At 42.9% G+C, this 20866-nt stretch overlaps 1 protein-coding gene, 1 long non-coding RNA gene and 1 pseudogene across 3 annotated transcripts; 2 read left to right on the top strand and 1 right to left on the bottom strand.

The window, feature by feature from the left end:
- Nucleotides 1-317: 317 nt before the first annotated feature.
- On the top strand, nt 318-4972 carry LOC105377683 (uncharacterized). 2 transcript variants are annotated; one of them, XR_941138.3, is made up of 3 exons: nt 318-510; nt 704-910; nt 4714-4972. It is a non-coding gene; the product is annotated as an uncharacterized LOC105377683 (long non-coding RNA). The 2 variants fall into 2 exon arrangements; XR_007059021.1 differs by lacking the exon at nt 4714-4972 and having other exon boundaries at nt 704-2128.
- On the bottom strand, nt 4276-19983 carry IL12B (interleukin 12B). The gene is made up of 8 exons (NM_002187.3): nt 19928-19983; nt 16191-16278; nt 12550-12825; nt 11890-12007; nt 9802-10016; nt 8232-8389; nt 6181-6312; nt 4276-5596 (listed from the first exon to the last, which is right to left on the bottom strand). Exons 2-7 carry the CDS (start codon nt 16276-16278, stop codon nt 6181-6183), a joined length of 987 nt encoding a protein of 328 aa, NP_002178.2. The 5' UTR covers nt 19928-19983; the 3' UTR covers nt 4276-5596.
- RNU4ATAC2P (RNA, U4atac small nuclear 2, pseudogene) lies at nt 7538-7663 on the top strand (annotated as a pseudogene).

Below are 20866 nucleotides of genomic sequence, written 5' to 3' on the forward strand. Positions count from 1 at the left end.
TGGCGGAATGTTCAGTTCCTTGGAATCCCACATGCCCGGGTTAGCTCCTTTTGCAAGCAGCCTGATGGATAGAAGTGAAGGGATGGTGCTCCTTATGAAAGGAGACGGGGGAGCTTAGTGAGCAGCGGCAGGGCCCTGCAGCCCGTCACACGCTAGCATCCACCGGGTTGAGTGGCTGCGCACGACCGCGGCGGGCGGGCGGGCGCGCTGCCGGAACGCTCTAGGCCTCCTGCGGAACCCAGGCCTGCGTGAAGGTAAATGCAAATCAGCTCCGCCCAGCGCTTCCCGCAGAAGGAGGGTTTTCTGTGTGCGCGTCTGGTTTCCTCCGCCTTCAGCCAGAATGCTGGCTTTATTTTTGCGGTTTATGAGCTTGAGACAGGGAATTCATTTCCTTGGTATAATATGACCCTCTGGAGAAAGTCTTGTCCAGATATATTTTGCTCCCAAACGCCGCCCTAGAAGAAGGACTACACTGAAATGAAACGGAGATGATTAAAGTCTGATTTATAGGTAAGGTGAATTGGTAGGATTATGCCAAATTCATTACATCCAGAGAAGGTGAAAGGGAATGAAAGGGCTCCTCCCGGGAGATGGAAACCTTTGTAAAAATAAATATTTATGGTGCACATACCTTTAACTCAGCTAGTAGCCAGGTTATATTTTATTATATTCACCACCATTTCCCTTTTCTGTTTCTCACCAGGCTGTACAAGCCCTGAAAGCAAGAACGGGGTTCACGGCATCTTGATACCCCCATGTGGGGACGTTTTGGCGATTTTATTTACAAGAAAGGGATTTTACACCGGAGAGGCTTTTAAATATGCTAACAGACTGGACCAGCTTTCTCATCCCCACTGGCTGATTAATGATTCCTCCATGCCAACCCGGTTCTCAGAGACACCAAGGCCAGGTAAAAACCACCCCTTCATCCCCTAAACCTTGCAAGAAGCACAGGGTCCAGAATTATGCTTCTTTCAGGTTCTAAATAGCACAATAAAACTAATAACAATAAGCTTTTAGTTATTAGATCAGGTACATTTTACTTTACAGTAAGCTTTTACTTATTGGATCAGGTACATTTTAAAGCAATTTTTGAACATTATTTCATTTGATCCTCACAACCACACTATGAGGTAGGTACTATCATTCCATTTGAAGGATGAGAAAACTGAGGCTCGAAGATGTTAAATAACTTGTTCAAGATCACAGCTAGTCAGTGGACATAGCTGCCATTCACTGAGTGCTTCCTGTGAGCCAGGCACGGTGACCATCACATTAAACCAATTATTTATTTCATGCAATAGTGCCCTTGATCCTTAGGAAGTGGCCTCCAGTGCTTAGAATTCCAAGCATTTGGTCCTCTGGAGATGAGAAACCATGGGAAGGCAGGGGCTCACTCACCCCTGTATCCAAAAAGTTGAGGATGGTGCCAAGGACAGAGACGGTACCAGGGACTCCAAAAATACTGAATGAAAGGACAGTAGAGGTGCTTTCCTGTGGGATCCCCAATCTCTCCCCGCCTTCAGGTGAGTCCTGCTGATGCTCAGGCTGCCCTTGGAACAGGGACCTTGGCCATAGTTTCCTTATCTGTAATAATGGGATGAGAATTCCTCCTGCACAGGGTTGTTAGGGACCTCGTGAGGCAGCTTCTATGGCTGCCTTTGGTGCTTAGTTTTCTCACTTTCTTCTTGAACATGGGAGTGGGGAGACGGACTCCTAAGGGTATGACACTTGAAGATTTCAGGAGGGGGCCTGCAGGTTTATGTCCTCACTTGTTTTACACCTCACAGAGGTCAGCGAAGCAGGGTATCACCAAAGCCCCACCTGATGTCTCTGGAAATCGAGTACTCCGTGTCTTCACCAGGCCCATGCCAGCTGTGAGGGGCAGAACCAGGTTTTCTGACACCAAACCCCAGGTTTCTTCCTGTGCTGGCATGGGTCCTTTTTCTGACTTGGCCAGCAGCCTCTCATAGATGGGGGTCTGATTAAATAGTTCTGGTGATGGGTGGAGTGATGGTTGCACAACAATATGAATGTATTTAATGCCACTGAACTGTACACCTGAAAATGGTTAAAATGTTACATTTTATGTTATGAATATTTCACCACAATAAAAAAAAGAAACAAATATGGATCTGTCTCTCTCACATGTCAAGAAATCTGGGGTAGGTAGATACAGTGGTTGGTTCAGCTGCTCCATGATGCCATGAGGATCTGGAGTCTGGCTTTTTTCTTTTCTTTTCTTTTTCTTTTTCTTTCTTTTTTTTTTTTTTGAGACAAAGTCTCACTCTGTTGCCCAGGCTGGAGTGCAATTGTGTGATCTCTGCTTACTGCAAACTCTGCCTCCTAAGTTCAAGTGATTCTCCTGCCTCAGCCTCCCAAGTAGCTGGGATTATAGGAGTGTACCACCATGCCCAGCTAATGTTTGTACTTTTTTGGTAGAGACGGGGTTTCACCATGTTGACCAGGCTGGTCTTGAACTCCTGACCTTAGGTGATCTGCCCACCTCAGTCTCCCAAAGTGCTGGGATTACAGGCATGAGCCACAGCGCCTAGCCTGAAGTCTCTAGCTTGAGTTTTTGCATGATGGCTTTCATACTGGGCACAAGGTGTCCTCTGAAGCTTCTCGAGATTTTTTTCTGCTCAAGAGAGGAGGATGGAAGGAAAGGGTGATGCTAGACATGGCTCTGTCTTTCATCAGAAAAGCCAAAGCTTCTCAGCAACCCTCCCAGCAGAATTTTCTTATATCTCATTGGCCAGAACTCAGTGTTTTGGCTTTGCTGGGCAACAAAGGTGGCTGAAAAAGTGGTCGCTAAACTTACCAACATTTAGAGCTGAAGAGGGCATCGGGGAGAAAACAGTTGGGAATGAGTATTGATTGGAAAACCAGCAGGCTGTTTCCAACACCCTGCTCAAGGTCACAAGTCTGTTATGTAACCATAGTTGGGACTGGAGTCTGCTCCTCTGATTCCCAGTCCTAAGATCTTTGGCTTAGACATTTAGTACATTTTGTAGTGGCTAGATTTACAATAAAAAGGACAGTCCTGGAGACTATCTTTAAAGAAGAAAAACTCTGCATTGCATGCACTGAAATTAATCGAATGCTAAGAGGTCATGTCGCAAAAGCACTGGGCATGGTGGGAGCCAGAACATCTCACCTCTGCCCCAGGCTGGCCAGAAATTTGGGGAAAGGTCCCAGTTCTCAGTGCTTATGAAATGTGATTAGTTATTTATTTTTTAAAAATCTGGTTAGTGTTGTTCATTAAATGTCCGTTAAGTACTTTGGTAACTGCAGATGAAAGACCCTGTAGGGGGACAAACACTTGTTATTAACAACCATATGCTGTCAAGTGTGGGCTTATAACACGGGACCATATGCTCCAAAGGTTGGCAAAGAATGACAGAAGCCACCCACCATTCCTCCAGGCCAGGAGCAGAGTGGCATAGGGCTCCAGGGGACACTGAAAATCAGGAATGTAAACAAACACCCCTATTATAATTACCCTGCCATTGCAAGGAAGCCTGAATGTGCACACTTGGATTTTTGGGATAGCAGGAAATTGGACTGCATTCCCTCTGATCCCACCATCTCCTCCTTCCATGGGAAGCACCAAGGGGAATTTGCAGGCCCTGCCCATTCTTTAGCCCAAAGTTGGCACCCTCTCTTCTCTGATGAGTCTTCCTGGATGGTGCTGGGTTACACAGATCCTTCTTTTTCATTCTCACCCCAGGCTACCATATATCCTGAACATTTTAGCGTGTAATGATAGTGAAGTTAACTTTTCATCCTGCCTTATAAGCAGTGTTAGGAGTGGGCACTGTTTGGGAGACACAATGCAAGGCTTTTTGAAACTTCCCAACCCTGAGGGCTAGCACATGTCCATATATACGGCAAACTCTCAATAAATACTAGAGCTGGACCTAAGAGCTGAGATGTCCATGGCTGTACCAGGTTAGAGTTTTATTTCATGATTCTTGGGATACCAGTAGAGTCGATTCCAGGATAGAGGGTGGAATAAGTGAGAGCTTCCACCCCTAAAAAAGGCACAATGCAGTTCAGTGCCCTTGCAAAGGATCCTTCCTTGTCAGATTACAGGGACATCCCCTGAGCTCAGGAAGACACTGACTTTGGAAATACTATAAGGGGAAAGAGCAACTCTGCAAAATTTGGAATGGGATCACTTCAAGAAAGGGCAATGCTTAAATGATAGGGGAAAAAATGCACCCCTGGTAGACTTGCAAGCAGAGTACTCAAATCAGCTGAGAATGCCCAAAATATGATTACAAAGAAGAGTTTTTATTAGTTCAGCCTCAGAATGCAAAAATAAATAAATAAATAAACAAACAGGAAACAAATGTAATCACTTTACAGAGCGCACATACATTACTTAAAAGTAGCACCTTCATGGAGCCATATTTTCTGGTCATAATTGTGTATCAGGTTCATTCATGCTAATGAGAAAGGGATTCCAGATTTTCTTTGCATCTGTCTGCTTCTCACAGGGCTGTTAAGAAGCCACCTGCCATTCTGACAATTTCATGTCCTTAGCCATAACTACTTGTCCTCTCTCTTGAATCTTAAGATCTTTTTGCCTTCCAGACACTTACGGTGTTTCTGTGTCATCCTCCTGTGTCTTTTAGAGAGGTGGGGGTGAGGACTGCCATGGAAGCTAAAGCTGAATTTTAATTTCAATCATTTTTTTTTTTGAGACAGGGTCTCATTCTGTCACCTAGGCTGGTATGCAGTGGCACAATCACGGCTCACCATAGCCTTGACCTCCTGGGCTCAAGAGATCCTCCTGCCTCATCCTCCTGAACAGCTGGGACCACAAGCATGAGCCACCACGCCTGGCTAATTTTAAATTTTTTTTGTAGAGACGGGGTCTTGTTATGTTTCCCAGGCTGGTCAATCATTTTTTTCTAGCCCTTTTAAAATTCAGGCATCCAAAGATTAAACTTGCTTAGAAGTGTAAGTGGCCCTAAATTGCTTTATCAACACCATCTCCAGGAAGTCTTCACAGACATGGGAACTAGCATCTTGTTCTCCTGGATCTTCTCAACAGGTTTGCATTGTCAGGTTTCCATGTAAGTATCTCTTGCGTTCCCATCCATCACAAGTGTATGATGGCACTGGTATCAGAACACTGCATTCTTCCTGATTGTCATAAAACTGATGTACTTGCAGCCTTGCTTGAAAAGTTGTCAGTACAAATAAAATTAAATTCACATTTTGCATAATAGGGACTGATCCTGATGGATCAGGTCATAAGAGTATGAAACATTCCATACATCCTGGCAGACAAACGTTAAATAACAGTAATATACTAATAAATACATAAATTACTTAAATATTTAAATAGCATGAAGGCCCATGGCAACTTGAGAGCTGGAAAATCTATACATAAATTAGCTGATTGTTTCAATGAGCATTTAGCATCTAACTATACAAATACAGCAAAGATATCATTGTGATCCTAAAAAAACGTTTTAAAGCAAATCAGATAGAAATTATCTTTTTGGGTCTATTCCGTTGTGTCTTTAAACATTTTGCTTAATATCTTCCACTTTTCCTCCAAATTTTCATCCTGGATCAGAACCTGGAAGAGAATGCCAAAAGTTGATGTGGGGTGACATTGTAACAGCAATGTCTCTTCTTATTTCTCACAACATATGATCCTGGGCAACTGGGTTTCAGGGATTTCATGCCAGAAGGCCCAGGCCTTCCTTATGTGGCCTGGAATTTGGCTGGCACCATGCTTGCCAGAGGCTTTCTTGAGGGTTTTCTTAAAATAATATCTGATTGTGTTACTTCCTTGCTGAAAACCCTTCAGTGGGTTTCAGGGCCCGGGGCCCCCAGAACAAGATTCTGAGTCCTGCAAGCTTGCAAGTCCTCCATGCTCTGCCTCCTGGCTACCTCTCTCTTTTCTTTGCCTTTCTCTTTAGGAGGCCAGAACCCCGGTCTGTTTTCTTTCCTGCAATATCCCTGTGGCCAGCACAGTGTCCTACATAACAAAGGCACCAAATAAATATCTGTTAGTGAATAAATGTATGTTTCTGATTCTGGCAACTGGGTGCTGGCCACTCCATCCCCCTTTCCTCTCCAACACAGCCCCCAATCATATCCCTGCATCCAGGTGCACTGAGAGTGCAGGCCTGGGCTGGCCTTTGAGGGCCTGCTCACCTAACTGCAGGGCACAGATGCCCATTCGCTCCAAGATGAGCTATAGTAGCGGTCCTGGGCCCGCACGCTAATGCTGGCATTTTTGCGGCAGATGACCGTGGCTGAGGTCTTGTCCGTGAAGACTCTATCTTTCTGCAAAAGAGAAGGAAAGCTGTGAAGACCCCTTGGCAACATAGTCACAGGGTAAGCTGAGCCTGTTTCTGCAATGCATACTCTCCCAAAACAAGCCCATCTTGGTCTTAGGGCACTGTGCTTGCAATTCACAGGGGTGTGCATAGAACTTGCACCACCTACTGGCAGACACTCCACATGTAGGTGCAGCTTTTGTACTTTGTAAGCCCTTGAGGGAGAAATCGTTTGGCCCAGCTTTCATCTTTCTAGCACAATTGCCTTGCCTCAAGACCCCATGGCCACTCACCCAGTCCTGAGCTGATGGTGAGAGAGAGACAGATTTGCTCTAGCCATCCCTGAGATATTGAGAAATACCATATCCTGATCATTTCATCAGAAAACTTGCCTTCAAATTCTGGCACTGCTACTTAATAGCTGTGTAACTTCAGGAAAATGTCTTAGGTTCTCTGTGTCTGTTTCCTCACTTATAAATAGGGATAACAATAATGCCTACTTCATAGAATTATAGTTCAAGGTAAAAATCACGTCAAACTCTTAGCAAGTCTTTAGCACATAGGAAGCACTCAATATCACCTATTAGTCATACAGATCTTAAATAGGGAAAGTACTTGCCAAGATGTAAAATAATATTTAGGTAAATATCTATTCCAGGATAGCCTCCCTACCTAATTATTTTCCCAGAGAGTAACTAGCTCACTGAATTTCTACCACATGCTAAATGCTATGCTGAATTAGGGCTTTGTCCAGTGATTTTAAAAGTGGGGTGAAAGGAGTCTGGGGCGGTACAAAAGGGCCTCTGGAACCTTGCAACAGGCAAAGGAATTCTGCTGTAAGGTGAGGAAGCTGGGAAGCCAATATCTTAGCCTCTATAAGTGTAGACATTCTGTTTAGTAAAATAATTTTATAATATCTGGAACAGCCAGGAGCTATCCATTTTGGGGGCGATATCTCTTGCCTGTTCTATCATTCATTACATGCACTCAGTTGAAACAACAATTTTAGGCTTCTGGAGCCCAGGTCTCCTCTATCAGGACTAATTCTGAGTGCCAAGATCAATGACCAACATCAGAGGTAGTGGAGTGGTTAGGTGCATGGCCTTTCTGTCTGGCAGATTGAGTTTATGTCTTGGTTATGTCATTTCCTAGCTGGGTGACCTTGGTAAAGTCACTTAACCTCTCTGAGTCTTCAATCACTTGTGAAATGATGATAATACTACTGGCTACCAACCATCCTTTTCTTGGGGTTGGGCTACTGTCCAATGAGCACGTAGTGAGGGCAGTGCTGCTAACACCTACACAAAATTCCTGCATCAGCTACAGCTTTACTTTACCTTGCCACAGTTTCTGGAAAAAAGGAAAGCCTCTTTTCCACAAAAAAGGGGGTAAAAAAACAAGAATAACATCAGCTACCTTTGTTGCGTTAATTTTGTAGATTAAGTGAAATAAACATGGAAAACCCTTGGCACAGCTCTAGACACATAGAAAAGTGCTAAGAAAAGTAATTATGCATCACATAATAACATTTCAGTCAAAGAAGGATCACATATATGACCAGTGGTCCTATATTGTTATAATATTGTATTTTTGCTATATCTTTTCTGTTTAGATATACAAACCATTGTGTTGTAATTGCCTACAGTATTCAGTACAGGAACATGCTGTACAGGTTTGCAGCCTAGGAGCAATAGGCTATACCATAAAGCCTAGAAGCGTAGTAGGCTATACCATCTAGGTTTGTGTGGGTACACCATATATGTTTGCACAATGATATAGCTGCCTAAAGATGAATTTCTCAGAATGTATCCCTGTTGTTAAGTGATACATGGATGTCATTGTTATTATCATCATTCATCTTCTCACTTTATGGTGGGCCTCCGTAAAACTGACCAAGGAATATACTGCACCTGAATCACTTCTTACCTTTTCTCTCTTGCTCTTGCCCTGGACCTGAACGCAGAATGTCAGGGAGAAGTAGGAATGTGGAGTACTCCAGGTGTCAGGGTACTCCCAGCTGACCTCCACCTGCCGAGAATTCTTTAATGGCTTCAGCTGCAAGTTCTTGGGTGGGTCAGGTTTGACTGTGGAAGAGGATAAACATGCTTTATTTTCCTAATAAGGCTTTGGAGTTCAGTGGTTTTGGCTTATGATCTCACTTGCACCTTTGATCAGCTGTGAGTCCACTGGATAGTTACTTAACTTCTGTGAGCACCTGGCTGGCAAATGTGAGGCACCTCTGCCGCAGGTGCTCACGCTGGTGCCTCGGGAAGGCAGTCATTATCAATGGCCACATCTCAGATCCACATGTATTGCAGGATCTGAGAGATGCTCAGAATCCTCATCACTGAACAATCAGATGGGACCGCACAGTGAGAAGACCTCTGCTTTAATGGTTATGGGCCATGCATTGAAGGACCACCCTGTCTGTGCTAATCCCTCACTTTGCACTGAACATGGAACTAAGCTGAGCCTCTCCCTGGGGATGAGATGATAGATTTTCTATTTACTGCCCTTTCTTTTGTCTTTTCATAGCTTTTGGTGCGGACATGTCTTGGAGCAGTTACAGTCAATTGTCTCTATGCTCAATTTGCTTGTTTATTCCATGAATACTGAGCGCCCATTATGTTCCAGCCACTGGACTGTGCATGAAGGATACAGCAGTGAGTTTCACAAAGACTCCTTCCTCAATTAGGTCTTCTAGATAAGAGGAGGCAGAGACATGCTAGGGTGTGTGGTTGGGCTCTGTAGGCCTGGCACTGCTCCACACAAAGATCACGGCTCCTAGCAGGTGCTTCGCACATATGCTTCCCTCTGCTCTTAACACAACTGACATCTTTCCTTTTGGTGTCAGCTAAATGTCACCTCCTCAGAGAGGCCTTCCTTGGCCACCCTATGTGAACTAGACCCCACCCACCAAGTACAAACCCTCCATAAGTTTTGAAGCAAGTTCTCTGGTTCTATTACACTTTATCATGCTGCCTGGTCAATGAATAAATAGTAAAGGAAATGACTTATGGTGAAATCCCTATCTGCCAATTAAAAAAAAAGATGTCCATTTTGGAAGGGTTTATATTCTAAGAAAGAAGTCCCTTTTCAAATGCTAAGGAAGGATTGGTTGGGAATAATTGCCATTAGTAAGGAAGCCCTGGTTCTGAATATGAATATTATGCTTGATTAGGCTCTGGGATTCATCATGGAAACTATCTGGCAGCTGAATCAAAGTGCAGTAAAGAGCAGCTGTAGTGGAGTGGATCTGGATTTGAACGGCTAGCTGTAAGATCTGAGATCTGGGGCAAGTTGCTTAACTTTTCTAAGACTCAATTTCCTCTTCCTTAAAATGCAGATAACAGTATCTACATCGTATTTTGTTTTTGGATGCAGAATAAAAGAGATGATGCTTGTCAACCACCTACCCCACAGTGCATGGGGCATTGTGAACACGTGACAAATAGTATCTTTCCTTATGGAGCACATATAATCATCCAAAACTCACTGATGTCCCTGATGAAGAAGCTGCTGGTGTAGTTTTCATACTTGAGCTTGTGAACGGCATCCACCATGACCTCAATGGGCAGACTCTCCTCAGCAGCTGGGCAGGCACTGTCCTCCTGGCACTCCACTGAGTACTCATACTCCTTGTTGTCCCCTCTGACTCTCTCTGCAGAGAGTGTAGCAGCTCCGCACGTCACCCCTTGGGGGTCAGAAGAGCTGAAGTCAAAGACAGAAATTAGCCTGTGTTACACATTGGGGAGAGAGTTCCTAGTGATTGTAGCCAGTAAGGCAGGTAAGGCCTCAACTGTTGTCTGAGGACACAGTTTCTCCAACTGGGCTGATTTCTACCCAGAGGGTAAGAAACTGCCCTCCCCAGGAGAAAAAGCTTAAATTCAAGAGCACTTACATGTCTCTGGACTAAATGAATATGGAAGTTTTTGTTTGTTTTAGATCTAGAATCTCTGATTATTAAACCCCCTTGTTAAAAACTTAAATTCATTTTTTCCCATTTTAATTATAAAATCAATACACAAATCAGTACACACTAATTATAAAAGTAAAGATGATAAAGATCCATATAAAGGAAAGAAGTGTATGTCTCCTTCATCCTTAACTGCTCTCCACAGGTTTAAGTACTAATAATAGCTTGTTGTATCCTTCCAGACCTTCCTTTTTCTTTTTCTTTCTCTCTCTCTCTCTCTTTTTTTTTTTAAGAGACAGGGTTTTGCTCTGCCACCCAGGCTGGAGTGAAGTGGTGGAATCAGACCCCACTGTAGCCTCAAACTCCTAGGCTCAAGTGATCCCCTCCCTCTGCCTCCCAAGTAGCTGGGACTACAGGTGTGTGCCACCACACCCACCTAATTTTTTTATTTTTAATATTTTCTGAGATGGGGTCTCACTGTGTTGCCTAGGCTGGTCTTGAACTCCTGGCCTCAAGCAATCATTCTGTCTCAGCCTCCCAAAGAGTTAGGATTTCAGGTGTGAGCCACTGTGCCTGGCCAGAACTTTTTCAATGAATATTCAAGATAATTGTATACACATTTTATATATATATATATATATACACACACACACACACACACATATGTATACACACATTATATATATAATCCATGTTATATACATCTCTACATTATATATATCCACTATATATATTTTACTTATACATATAGATTTTATTTTTATGAACTAGGATCAAATTGTATACATATGATTATGTAACCATCCTTTTCCCCTCTGAACATATTATGGGGAGCTCTCCATGACAAAACATATGGGTTGGGTTATCCACTTCAATGACTGCACATTAAGCAAGAGTATAGTGTACCATGTTTTATTTAACCATTCCTCTGCTGATTATGTCTTTATGCACTTGGAGAAACATTTCTTTAGTAAGCATTTTCCTTTTAAAGATGAAAAAGTGAGACCCCAATGCTTAATTTACTCAGTGAAATAATGGTAAAGTCAGGATGATCACCTGGGGTTTGCTTCGGTGATGATTAAAGTAAGCCACATGGGGGTTAACACATAGGTCTTGTATTTATGGAAGTTGCTTTCTTACGGAAAGTCCAGGTGCATTGGACCAACAGCGAACTTCAGATTAGTGGTGTCAGCAGAAGTAAAAGGAGTTGAGGTGGCCCTGGGAAAATTTCGGGAGGCCTCATCGAGTTTTGGAGTCTGCTTCAGGGCCCCTAAGATCTACGCCCTGGAGCTCTTGTTTTTATTTTTGACTCAAGGTGCAATTTCAGCAAGTCATTTGTAGCTTTGAATTCTCCGTTTATCCCTTTCTTTGGTGCTATGAGGCTTCAGGAAGCATGGCCAGGCAATTTGGATGAGTGGGTTCAAACACAGCAGAGACTATTCTCAGTTCCCAATAATATCCTGCCCCAACACATACATTTATTCAAGCAATCGGCTAAAATCTCCATGTTCTTTCTTCAATGTAGACAAGGAAGGGCGGTTGAAAAAACACGGGTTTGACTTTGCTTTTCCCATTATCATTAACTGATAGGTCACTGAGAGGTTGCCCTTAATTTCTTAATGAAATAGTTCTAGAAAAATGCTGAGAAACCAGAGCAGTTTCACTCACCCTCTGCTGCTTTTGACACTGAATGTCAAATCAGTACTGATTGTCGTCAGCCACCAGCAGGTGAAACGTCCAGAATAATTCTTGGCCTCGCATCTTAGAAAGGTCTTATTTTTGGGTTCTGGATTTGAAAAAAACAAAAATTCAATATTTAGGAGTTTTTTGCAGAAAGGTTTTGATTGTGATGAATCACAGATCACCAGATGGTACAGGGTGAAGTTCTTCCATGCGTTGCCTCTTGGGTAGCTCCATAAGGATTGGGAGTATCCCAGTGGGGTGTTGATTCTGCAGAGTACACTACACACCTAACATGCCTGGCAGAGGCATTCATTTTTTGAAGGCTATCACCCCAGTGCAGAGTGATACACTATCGGTTAATTTCCATTAGCCATTAAATAATATCACCATTATTTAAAGAAAACATGAGGCTAAGCATTCAGACTGATCATGAAACTCCCTTAATATGAGATTTTGATGGTTGATAACCCAAAGGGTCCAGGAAAGCAAAGGAAAATGGAGGTTAACATCAATTAACATCAATAAGAGACTTGATGTTAATTCATTACACTCACCATGACTTGGCTTTTCAATTTGTTGTTGTTGTTGTTTTTAACTCTTATGAGCGAAAGAGAAAATTGATACTATCCAAGGGTATAGAATTACCTTTCTGGTCCTTTAAAATATCAGTGGACCAAATTCCATCTTCCTTTTTGTGAAGCAGCAGGAGCGAATGGCTTAGAACCTCGCCTCCTTTGTGACAGGTGTACTGGCCAGCATCTCCAAACTCTTTGACTTGGATGGTCAGGGTTTTGCCAGAGCCTAAGACCTCACTGCTCTGGTCCAAGGTCCAGGTGATACCATCTTCTTCAGGGGTGTCACAGGTGAGGACCACCATTTCTCCAGGGGCATCCGGATACCAATCCAATTCTACGACATAAACTGGAATGCACATAAAGTGGAGAACCAGGCTGTAAGCTCCAGGAACTCTGGGACTGTGTTTTATTAACCCTTCGGGCATCCCCATTGCCTAAACACAACCTTGTTTACAACAAGTATTTGGCAAATGCTTGCTGAGATGATCTCAAGGCATGAGACCCTGCTTGGGCTCAAGGTCATGGAAAAGAGAAACAAAGAGTTTTATAGCTGCCATCGACTCATTGACTGGAAGGCTGCCTTTAATAGTAACCTTTGATTATTTAGCAGATTGGAAACACCTTAATATACCAAAAACTGCAAACAGCACAAGACTCTTTGCCAAAGGTCTGGGGGAGAGAAACTTCCAGCACAATTTCAGTTTCATAGAGAATACGGCAGGGCACAATATTCAGCAGAGTAACATAGTGGTTAAAAGCTCAGGGTGTCGAGAACAACGAACCAAGACTGTCATCCTGTCTCCACTAACCAGCTGGGGGATTTGGAACAAGGTATTTCATTATCATGAGCCTCAGTTTCCTCATCTGTAAAATGATAATAATAACAGTATCTGCCTTACATTTGACTGAGGATTAAATGAAAAAAAAAAAAAGCACGTAAAGTACTTAGCACAGTGTCTGCCACACAGTAAATTCGGTGTTAGTTATCGTTACTTATAGACTGAGGAGTCAGCCAACTGTACAGAGAAACTCTCTTAACAATTTTCCATGGATATTTAAGGATTTCGTTCCCTCTGTTTTAAATCACCAGTGGAGATTTTCATTCTCTCTGCATTATTATTATTATTATTATTATTTTTAGCTATCTTACACTCTTATGAAGCAGTCCAGTAGAGCTTAGTCTTCCCATTTAATGAAGAAGCGTACTGAGGCCAACGATCTAAGCATGGTCACAGCAAGTCAGAAGTACAAGGGCTACAGCTCAGACCTTTTGTCTCTTGGGCTTTGCAAGGGATGCCTAATGCTAGTGTCTAAACTGGCCTTTGAGGAATGGCTTAGTATAGTATTTCAGAGTGTGTCATAGCAAAGCTTCATTCATTTTTTTAATCCATGCATAAATTATTAATTGAATAGAATTGTTTAATGTAGTAGTTCCCAAAGCATGATCGATGAAACACCATCAGCAGCATCACCTTGGAATAGATCAGAAATGCAAATTCTCAGCTGCTGAATCAGAAACCTTGGGATGGATTTAGTTATATGGTTCTTAAGCTCTCCAGATGGTGCTGATGCCTGCTCAAGTTTATGAGTCACAGTGGTTGAGAGCCTGCATTTTGGAGTGGCAGAGGCCTGGATTTAGAAGCAGCTCTAGCCCTTGCTCCAGTCTTGTGGCCTTTGGCAAGACATTCAACTACTGTAAGCCTCAGTGTCATCATCTTTAAAATGAGAAAAATATTAGCCCTTGCTTTAGAAGGTGGATATGTGGATTATATAAGCTCATACACAGTGCCCTTACATGCTTTATAAATGGTGGTTCTCGTTATTGGCCTCTGGATGTAAAGCATTGTAGAATATAAAGTTTTCACTTTACATCAATTGGATTATAAGGACTGAATGGATAACAAAAATAAGAGGTCAAAAGCATTTGGGGTCCAACTCTGGGGAAATGATTAGCTGTGCTGATGTAAAACCATGTGGCACTTTTGGCTTTTTCTTGGTTTTTTTTTTGTCCCCCTGACACCTGAAGAGCATGGTTACTTTCCTGTCCCAACTGAGGCTCGGAAGCCCTAGAAGATGTTTGCTCAACAGCAGGGAAAACAGCTGCAGGAGGAAAGCTGAAGAGGAGCATCAAGAACCTGGCACTTAGCCTCACTGCATCGTCTGCCCTCCTAAGTCACACCTCGGAGAGTTTCTCACACTGATTTTCTGGAATTTCTGTGGTTTACCAAATCAGAAGTCACTAAGGGGTCAAATATGCCAGGACCAAGGTTCCTGAGCTCGCTAACAATCCCAGGGTTGGAAGGGATCTGCCATATACCCCTGGCTCAGGCCTTTGCCTTTACTTAAGAGAGTGTCTAAATCTCTCAAATTCTCATGGAGAAGGGGTGGCTGGATTCTGTCTTCCTAAAATTCTTGAGAAGAGAGGAGTGGTCCCAGATTTCTTTCAGGTACCCATTTCAAGATGGTACTTTCTAGAATATCAAAAGATTATTTCTGATCATCAGCTGAAATATTTTCATCCTTAATTTATGTCCATTTCCTCTTATTCAGCTCTCCAAAGACCTGGGAAAAAATTACTTCATGTCCTTGTAAAAACGTTTTCACAAATTTAAGTGCACCAGCTTTGAAGCAAGACAGAATTGGGATCAAGTCCCTGTTCCACCCTTACCAGGTATGTGACATTGGGCAAGTTACTTAATCTCTCTGGCCTCAGTTTCCAACATCTGTAAAATGGGATACAGACAGTCTCTACTTCATATGGCTCTTGTGAGAATTAAGTGAGACAGTGCACTCAATAAACATTAACTATTATTATTATACAATTAAAGATAGTAATCGCCAACATTATGATGTTGGCTTCAGTGATAAAAATCTGAGGGTCTTTCAGGTACAGCCAACGGTCAGAATGCACATTTACTGAGTGTGAGATACTAGAAGGATGGGCAGAACTCCTTATTTTACCATTAACTATTCTATTAGTCTACTAATAATTTTTACTGATCATTGGGATAATAAAAAGTATCTCTTGAATCATGAAAGATATTTTAAACAACCAAAATAGTAATACTAGCTGACATTTACTTTCACTTTACTATCTGTCGAGTTGTATTCTGCATTCATTAACCCACTAAATAACCCACGTGGTAGGCATCCACTTTGTAACATCCAGTTTACAGTTGAGGAAATTCAGGATTAGAGGTGACCCAGCTTAAAGTCACATAACCAGTCATTGACAGACCTAGGACTTGAACCCAAGTCAATGTGAGTCTGAATCCTATGCTTCCTCCAAAGTGCTTGGTCAGAGGTAAGTCATCACAGTGCCAACTGAGGGGGCAGTATCATGTGGTGGAATGAGAAACGAACACAGTTGTTATACTTTGCAAATCCTCTACTTTGGAATTTTAATTGTGTGAAACAGTTTTTAGTAATATTGGAAAATATCATATGTCATATGTCTTTCCCCACCATATCATATATCATATGTCTTTCCCCACCATAGTGTACCAATGTCATCCAATGTGAAAACCAAACAATATAGATACCATCAAAGTAGAAAAGAGAGATATGGCATTGCATTTTCCCAGAGTGATGGCTTTCTCTAGAGGACCCAGTGCATGGTTGCCCATTTCAGTTTGATTTCCCACCAGTGGCTGCCCAAGAGTCCTGGCTTAGAAGTGGGGCCTCCACAGAGAATAATGAGAGGCTGGTTACCATCTTTCTTCAGTTCCCATATGGCCACGAGGGGAGATGCCAGAAAAACCAGGGAAAACCAAGAGATGACCAACTGCTGGTGACACATCTATAAGAAGGGAGAGAAGCAGGGGGAAGAGAAGGAGGAAAAGAGAAGGAAGAGGAAGAAAAAAGAGAAGAAAGAATGTCAATAATTCTTGTTACCTTTGTGAACCATATACACATTCTAGCTACTTTTTTTTTAAATAAAATCTTGATTCTCCCCTTTCTTCTCCATACTGTCAAGCAAATACTAAGTAAATTACAGGAGTTCTATGGCAGTCTGTGGGGAAGAACATCTCTAAATAGAGAACCATAGGGTATTTGGGGCTCTGGAGCTGAAAGAGACCTAAGGCAAGCCATCTGATACAATCCTCTTATTTTTAAGATGAGAAACTTAAAGCTTAGAGAAGGAATGTGACTTTCTGGATCAACATCTAGCAGTTGTTTATTTAGTGCTTACTACATAAAGAGCACTGGGCTAGAAGCAGTTGAGAGAGAAAAAAAGGGCTTACCTGGATCCCGCTTCCTAGGAGCAAATACTTTTACTCAATAAATATTTATTAAGTCAGTGTGTTAAATGCCTCCCCGCCAGCTGGGGAGATGAGCCATACATTTGTATCACTGCAGCACAAAGCAGTGTGTGCTGGAGCACCCAGAACTGAAGGACTTGGGTTAGGGACAGGAACGGTAATACAGAGGCGAACTTTCAGGTTCTGGCAACGACCTGGTCACCAGCCCTTGCTGTAGGGGTTTAGCTTCTCTTGTTTTCCAAGTTCAAAGACTACTCTCTCCCATATAGAGAACCTAGTGGTTCTAAAATTTGAGTGACTGTCAGGATAACCTGGAAGCACTGCTACAACAGACGGCTGAGTCCCACCCCCAGAGTGTCTGATTCAGCAGGCATGAGGGCCTGAGAATATGCATTTCTAGAAAGTTTCCAGGGGAAGCAGATGCTGCTGGCGCTAAGACCACACCTTGAGAACCACTGGTTTAACCCATGTTCAGGGTCCAGAACCCCTGAAAATCAAAGTGTTCATTGGGAAAAGACCACAACATATTGATATATCCACCATGAAATAGTAAAATGCATAATTTTATGTTAAATAAGCCACCATCTGATATAGAAACCAGTCTAGGTTAGTATCCAGGGTTTATGAAAATCTTCCGATTGCAAAAATTACATGCCACTTACGAATGAGGTAGGGATGATTATTGAAACATTCTGAAACAACTCCATTCACCTTGCAGAGCACCCATGGTCTGGAGGAAAGTGGTTCTGAAACCACTGTTTTAAACTATATGAAGGGCAATGCTCAACTGTTTCAGTCAAATACCTTAAAAATGAGCATTCCTGGGTTGGGTGACGGAATATTGACAAATTACAGCTTTGTCAGAACTGCTACTAACTCTAGGCGGACCTTGCTATGTACTTTATTCCCTTATAAAGTTTGTGAGTGGCAGAGACAGGCCTAGAAGTCAAGCCTTCTTGGACACTGCTCAGTGCTGTCACCACAGCATGGAGTTTTAGGGGCATGGCTATCACTTCAGTCTAGGTTATGACTGTAGCAAAGTACTAGCTGGCACAGGGCACCGGTTAGTACATTCACAGGCTTGAAGTTAAACAGACACAGGCTTGAATTTTGGTCCCACCGCTCATTTGCTGTTGAGCAGTGGGAGCAACTTGTTGGCCAAGTTACTCGCTGAGCCTCAGTCTCTTTGTCTATAAAATGGACCTAATACTTATCTCAAAGGCTTGTTGGGAAAGGCAATGAGATAACATATTATAGAAGGCAACCAATAACATATTAACTTGAACCTAGAGGAAGAGGTAAGGGAACAATTCGGTATCTGTGTTTTATATATCATGGATAGTCAAGAAAGTCATTCTAGGCAGTAGGGAAATGTGCACAGAGGTACTGCAATTACATGCGCCTGTAAAACCCAGAGGCTGGCACACTGGAAGGGAAATAGTGGAGATTCCTGGCATCTCCTGGCCACTTACGCTGAGGTATTCCCACTAGCTGTGTGCCCAGCACTTCCTCTGCATGCCTCAGATGCATTTGACAATCTCAGGTGAACTGCACTTCAGGGTCAAGGGAACCCCGGCCATGGTTCTAAGAAGCAACTCCCATTTTAGTATCACCTACATTTGAAACCACAGAGCACTGTCCAGGAGAGGTGATGGTGGTGGGTCTCCTCCTTTGGCTCTCTGGCCCATCAGCTGATACTAGGGAGCGCTATCCCTCAGCCCACATTTCTCAGCATGGTAAGTCTGAGAGTCTTGATGATTAAAACACATTTTTGTGTGTGCAATTTCATAGGTTTTCTAAACTCTTGAAACCCTTGCATGAAGGACAAAGGGACCCCACGTTACACACTCCTACTTCCTGGAGTATGCTAAGGGCTTCCCAACACTGGTGCCAACATCAGCATGCCAATGACGCTTGGGTGGGCATCTCTTTTTTAAGTTTTGTTTGTTACCTTTAATTAGAAAAGGGAGTTATTATTAAAGAATAAAAAGATATAGTCACAGATGGCATGGGTGGCACATGCAAAGATCCCTAGTTTGAGGGCCAGGCAGACTTCTAGAACTGTGTGACTCTGGGTGAGTCACTTGGCCCCTTTAAGCCCCACACTCCTGATCTATAAAATGGGCATGCTACTGTGGTAAGGAGTTAGTGACATAATTCACGTGAAGTGTCATGGTGCCTAGATGAAGTCAGGACCCACTATTTGCTCCCCTCCTTCCACAGCATTTACTACAATGGCAACAATACAGTCTCTTCTTTACTGTTTGTCTTCTCTGCCACACTGAGTGAACTCTCTTATGCCATGGATCATGTCTATCTTGTTTTGCACTTTACCCCCAGAGTCCAGCACAGAGGGATTCCATGACTTATTAGTAGCATGAAGGAATGTACGGAAATCATACAATTTCAGATTCCAGTAAACTAAACTCTAAGAGGTTACCCACATTCCATCTAGTATCTTGCAATTCCTTGTTTGAAAAAGTGGGTCATCACCTGGGGTTTAGTAATCCCTTTGTTAAAATGACATTGTTGTTGCACACAATTTTACCTGGGCAAGTAAAAAAACCTTTTTTTCCCCCTTCTCACAGATTTAAAAACTCTTTAGGAAGCAATAATAGCTTTTCATTTTTTAACTGGGGCCAAAGTTAGTTAATCCACAAGAATGGGGATCCCAGCTGTCATTTTGGTTGATATCACAACTGACGACCAAGACCATCACAAATATGGGAGCAAGTCTGATTTGTAACATTATTATAATTATGAATCCAATTACTTTAAGGAATGCACGAAAGGCTTTTTAAAAATTTCAATAGTAAGGCAGGCACCACTCACTTTAGCTCTATACAATCCTTTAACTGATGGGCATTAACATTTAGGAATATACTTTTATACATCAATACACACCACTTCAAAATAAGATAAAACAAACATTTCCACAAACTATGCATACACACAGATCTTGCTATACAGTTATTATTAGGTGGCTTTTAAAATGGACACTGTACATCGGTCCCTAGAGTACTAAGTTTTCACTAATGTTCCAGCAGATGACTCACCAGGGATGCTTCCAGGAATCCACCAACTCCCTCCTGCCAGCTGCTGGGGTAGCACACTAACGGTTTCTACACCTGGACAGCTGCAGGCCCACAGGGAGGGGAGGGAGGTAGGGGCTTGGGAAGTGCTTACCTTGCTCTGGGCAGGACGGAGAGTCCAATGGCCCTGAAACAGATGTTGTTTCTTCTGCTGCTGTTGCTGGTACTGGAACTTATATACTCTACTCCTTTCTGATGGAAACTTAAACTAGAAACTGACTTGTTGCAACATTGAAAACAACTCTCAAAACCTTCTGGGGGAATTTCAAGAAGTTCCTTTTTTGTTTGTCTCTCTCTGTGTGTGTATCAATAACGAGGAGGGAACATAGACATCAAAATCCCAGGTAATGAACTAAGAGGAAATGACTTTTGGGTGGGGAATAAGGAAGGAGATGGAGATGCTAATTTCTCTGGGTTTACATCATGGCCAAGGTGCTTGGAGACAGCACTAGGCAGATTCCCTGGGTTCCACAGATCGAGGAAGAAGGAAGGCCAAGGGGCGGTCAGACGGGAGGCTGAGTTCATGTCGGGATGGAACAACTGTATGCCCAAGGGCTTAAAAACAAAATCCTGGTTCTTCCCAAGTCAGAGAGGATGAGATGAAGGGCAAAGGGTTTAGTACATCTGGGGCGCCTTCCTCCACATTAGTCCTTTAATTTCAGAAACATACTATTTACCACCCATCTTGGCTCCATGCACCTCTCCCCACATTCCCCGAGTGGGAACACACGCGTGCACACACACACCCATGCACATTTCATACAGACACAGACCTGGGGAGATGATAAAACTGCGTGTACCACTAATAAGACTCAAATATGTGCACATCCTGTGCTCATAGGTACTCGCTCATAGGGGCGGATGGGAGCAGAAAGTGAAATACCCTCAGGGAGGCATACAGACAACCACACTCAAGGCACCCCCCCTTGGGCACCCAGACTACATCCTCATTTCATTTGCACACAAATCTATGGCCCTAGGGGCTCCGTGCAGATGCACAGGAATAGCGGAATAAAGATATCTCTCGTGGTGG

The sequence above is a fragment of the Homo sapiens genome, chromosome 5 (assembly GCF_000001405.40).
Source record: "Homo sapiens chromosome 5, GRCh38.p14 Primary Assembly".
In the NCBI taxonomy this organism is placed as follows: domain Eukaryota; kingdom Metazoa; phylum Chordata; class Mammalia; order Primates; family Hominidae; genus Homo; species Homo sapiens.

Coding starts and splice junctions, on each gene's coding strand:
- IL12B (NM_002187.3), bottom strand. CDS start 16,278: ATGTGTCACCAGCAGTTGGTCATCTCTTGGTTTTCCCTGGTTTTTCTG. Junction 10,017..11,889: donor AGTGTCAAAAGCAGCAGAGG/GTGAGTGAAACT, acceptor CTTTGACTTCAG/CTCTTCTGACCCCCAAGGGG. Junction 6,313..8,231: donor GCAAGAGCAAGAGAGAAAAG/GTAAGAAGTGAT, acceptor TCTCTTTTGCAG/AAAGATAGAGTCTTCACGGA.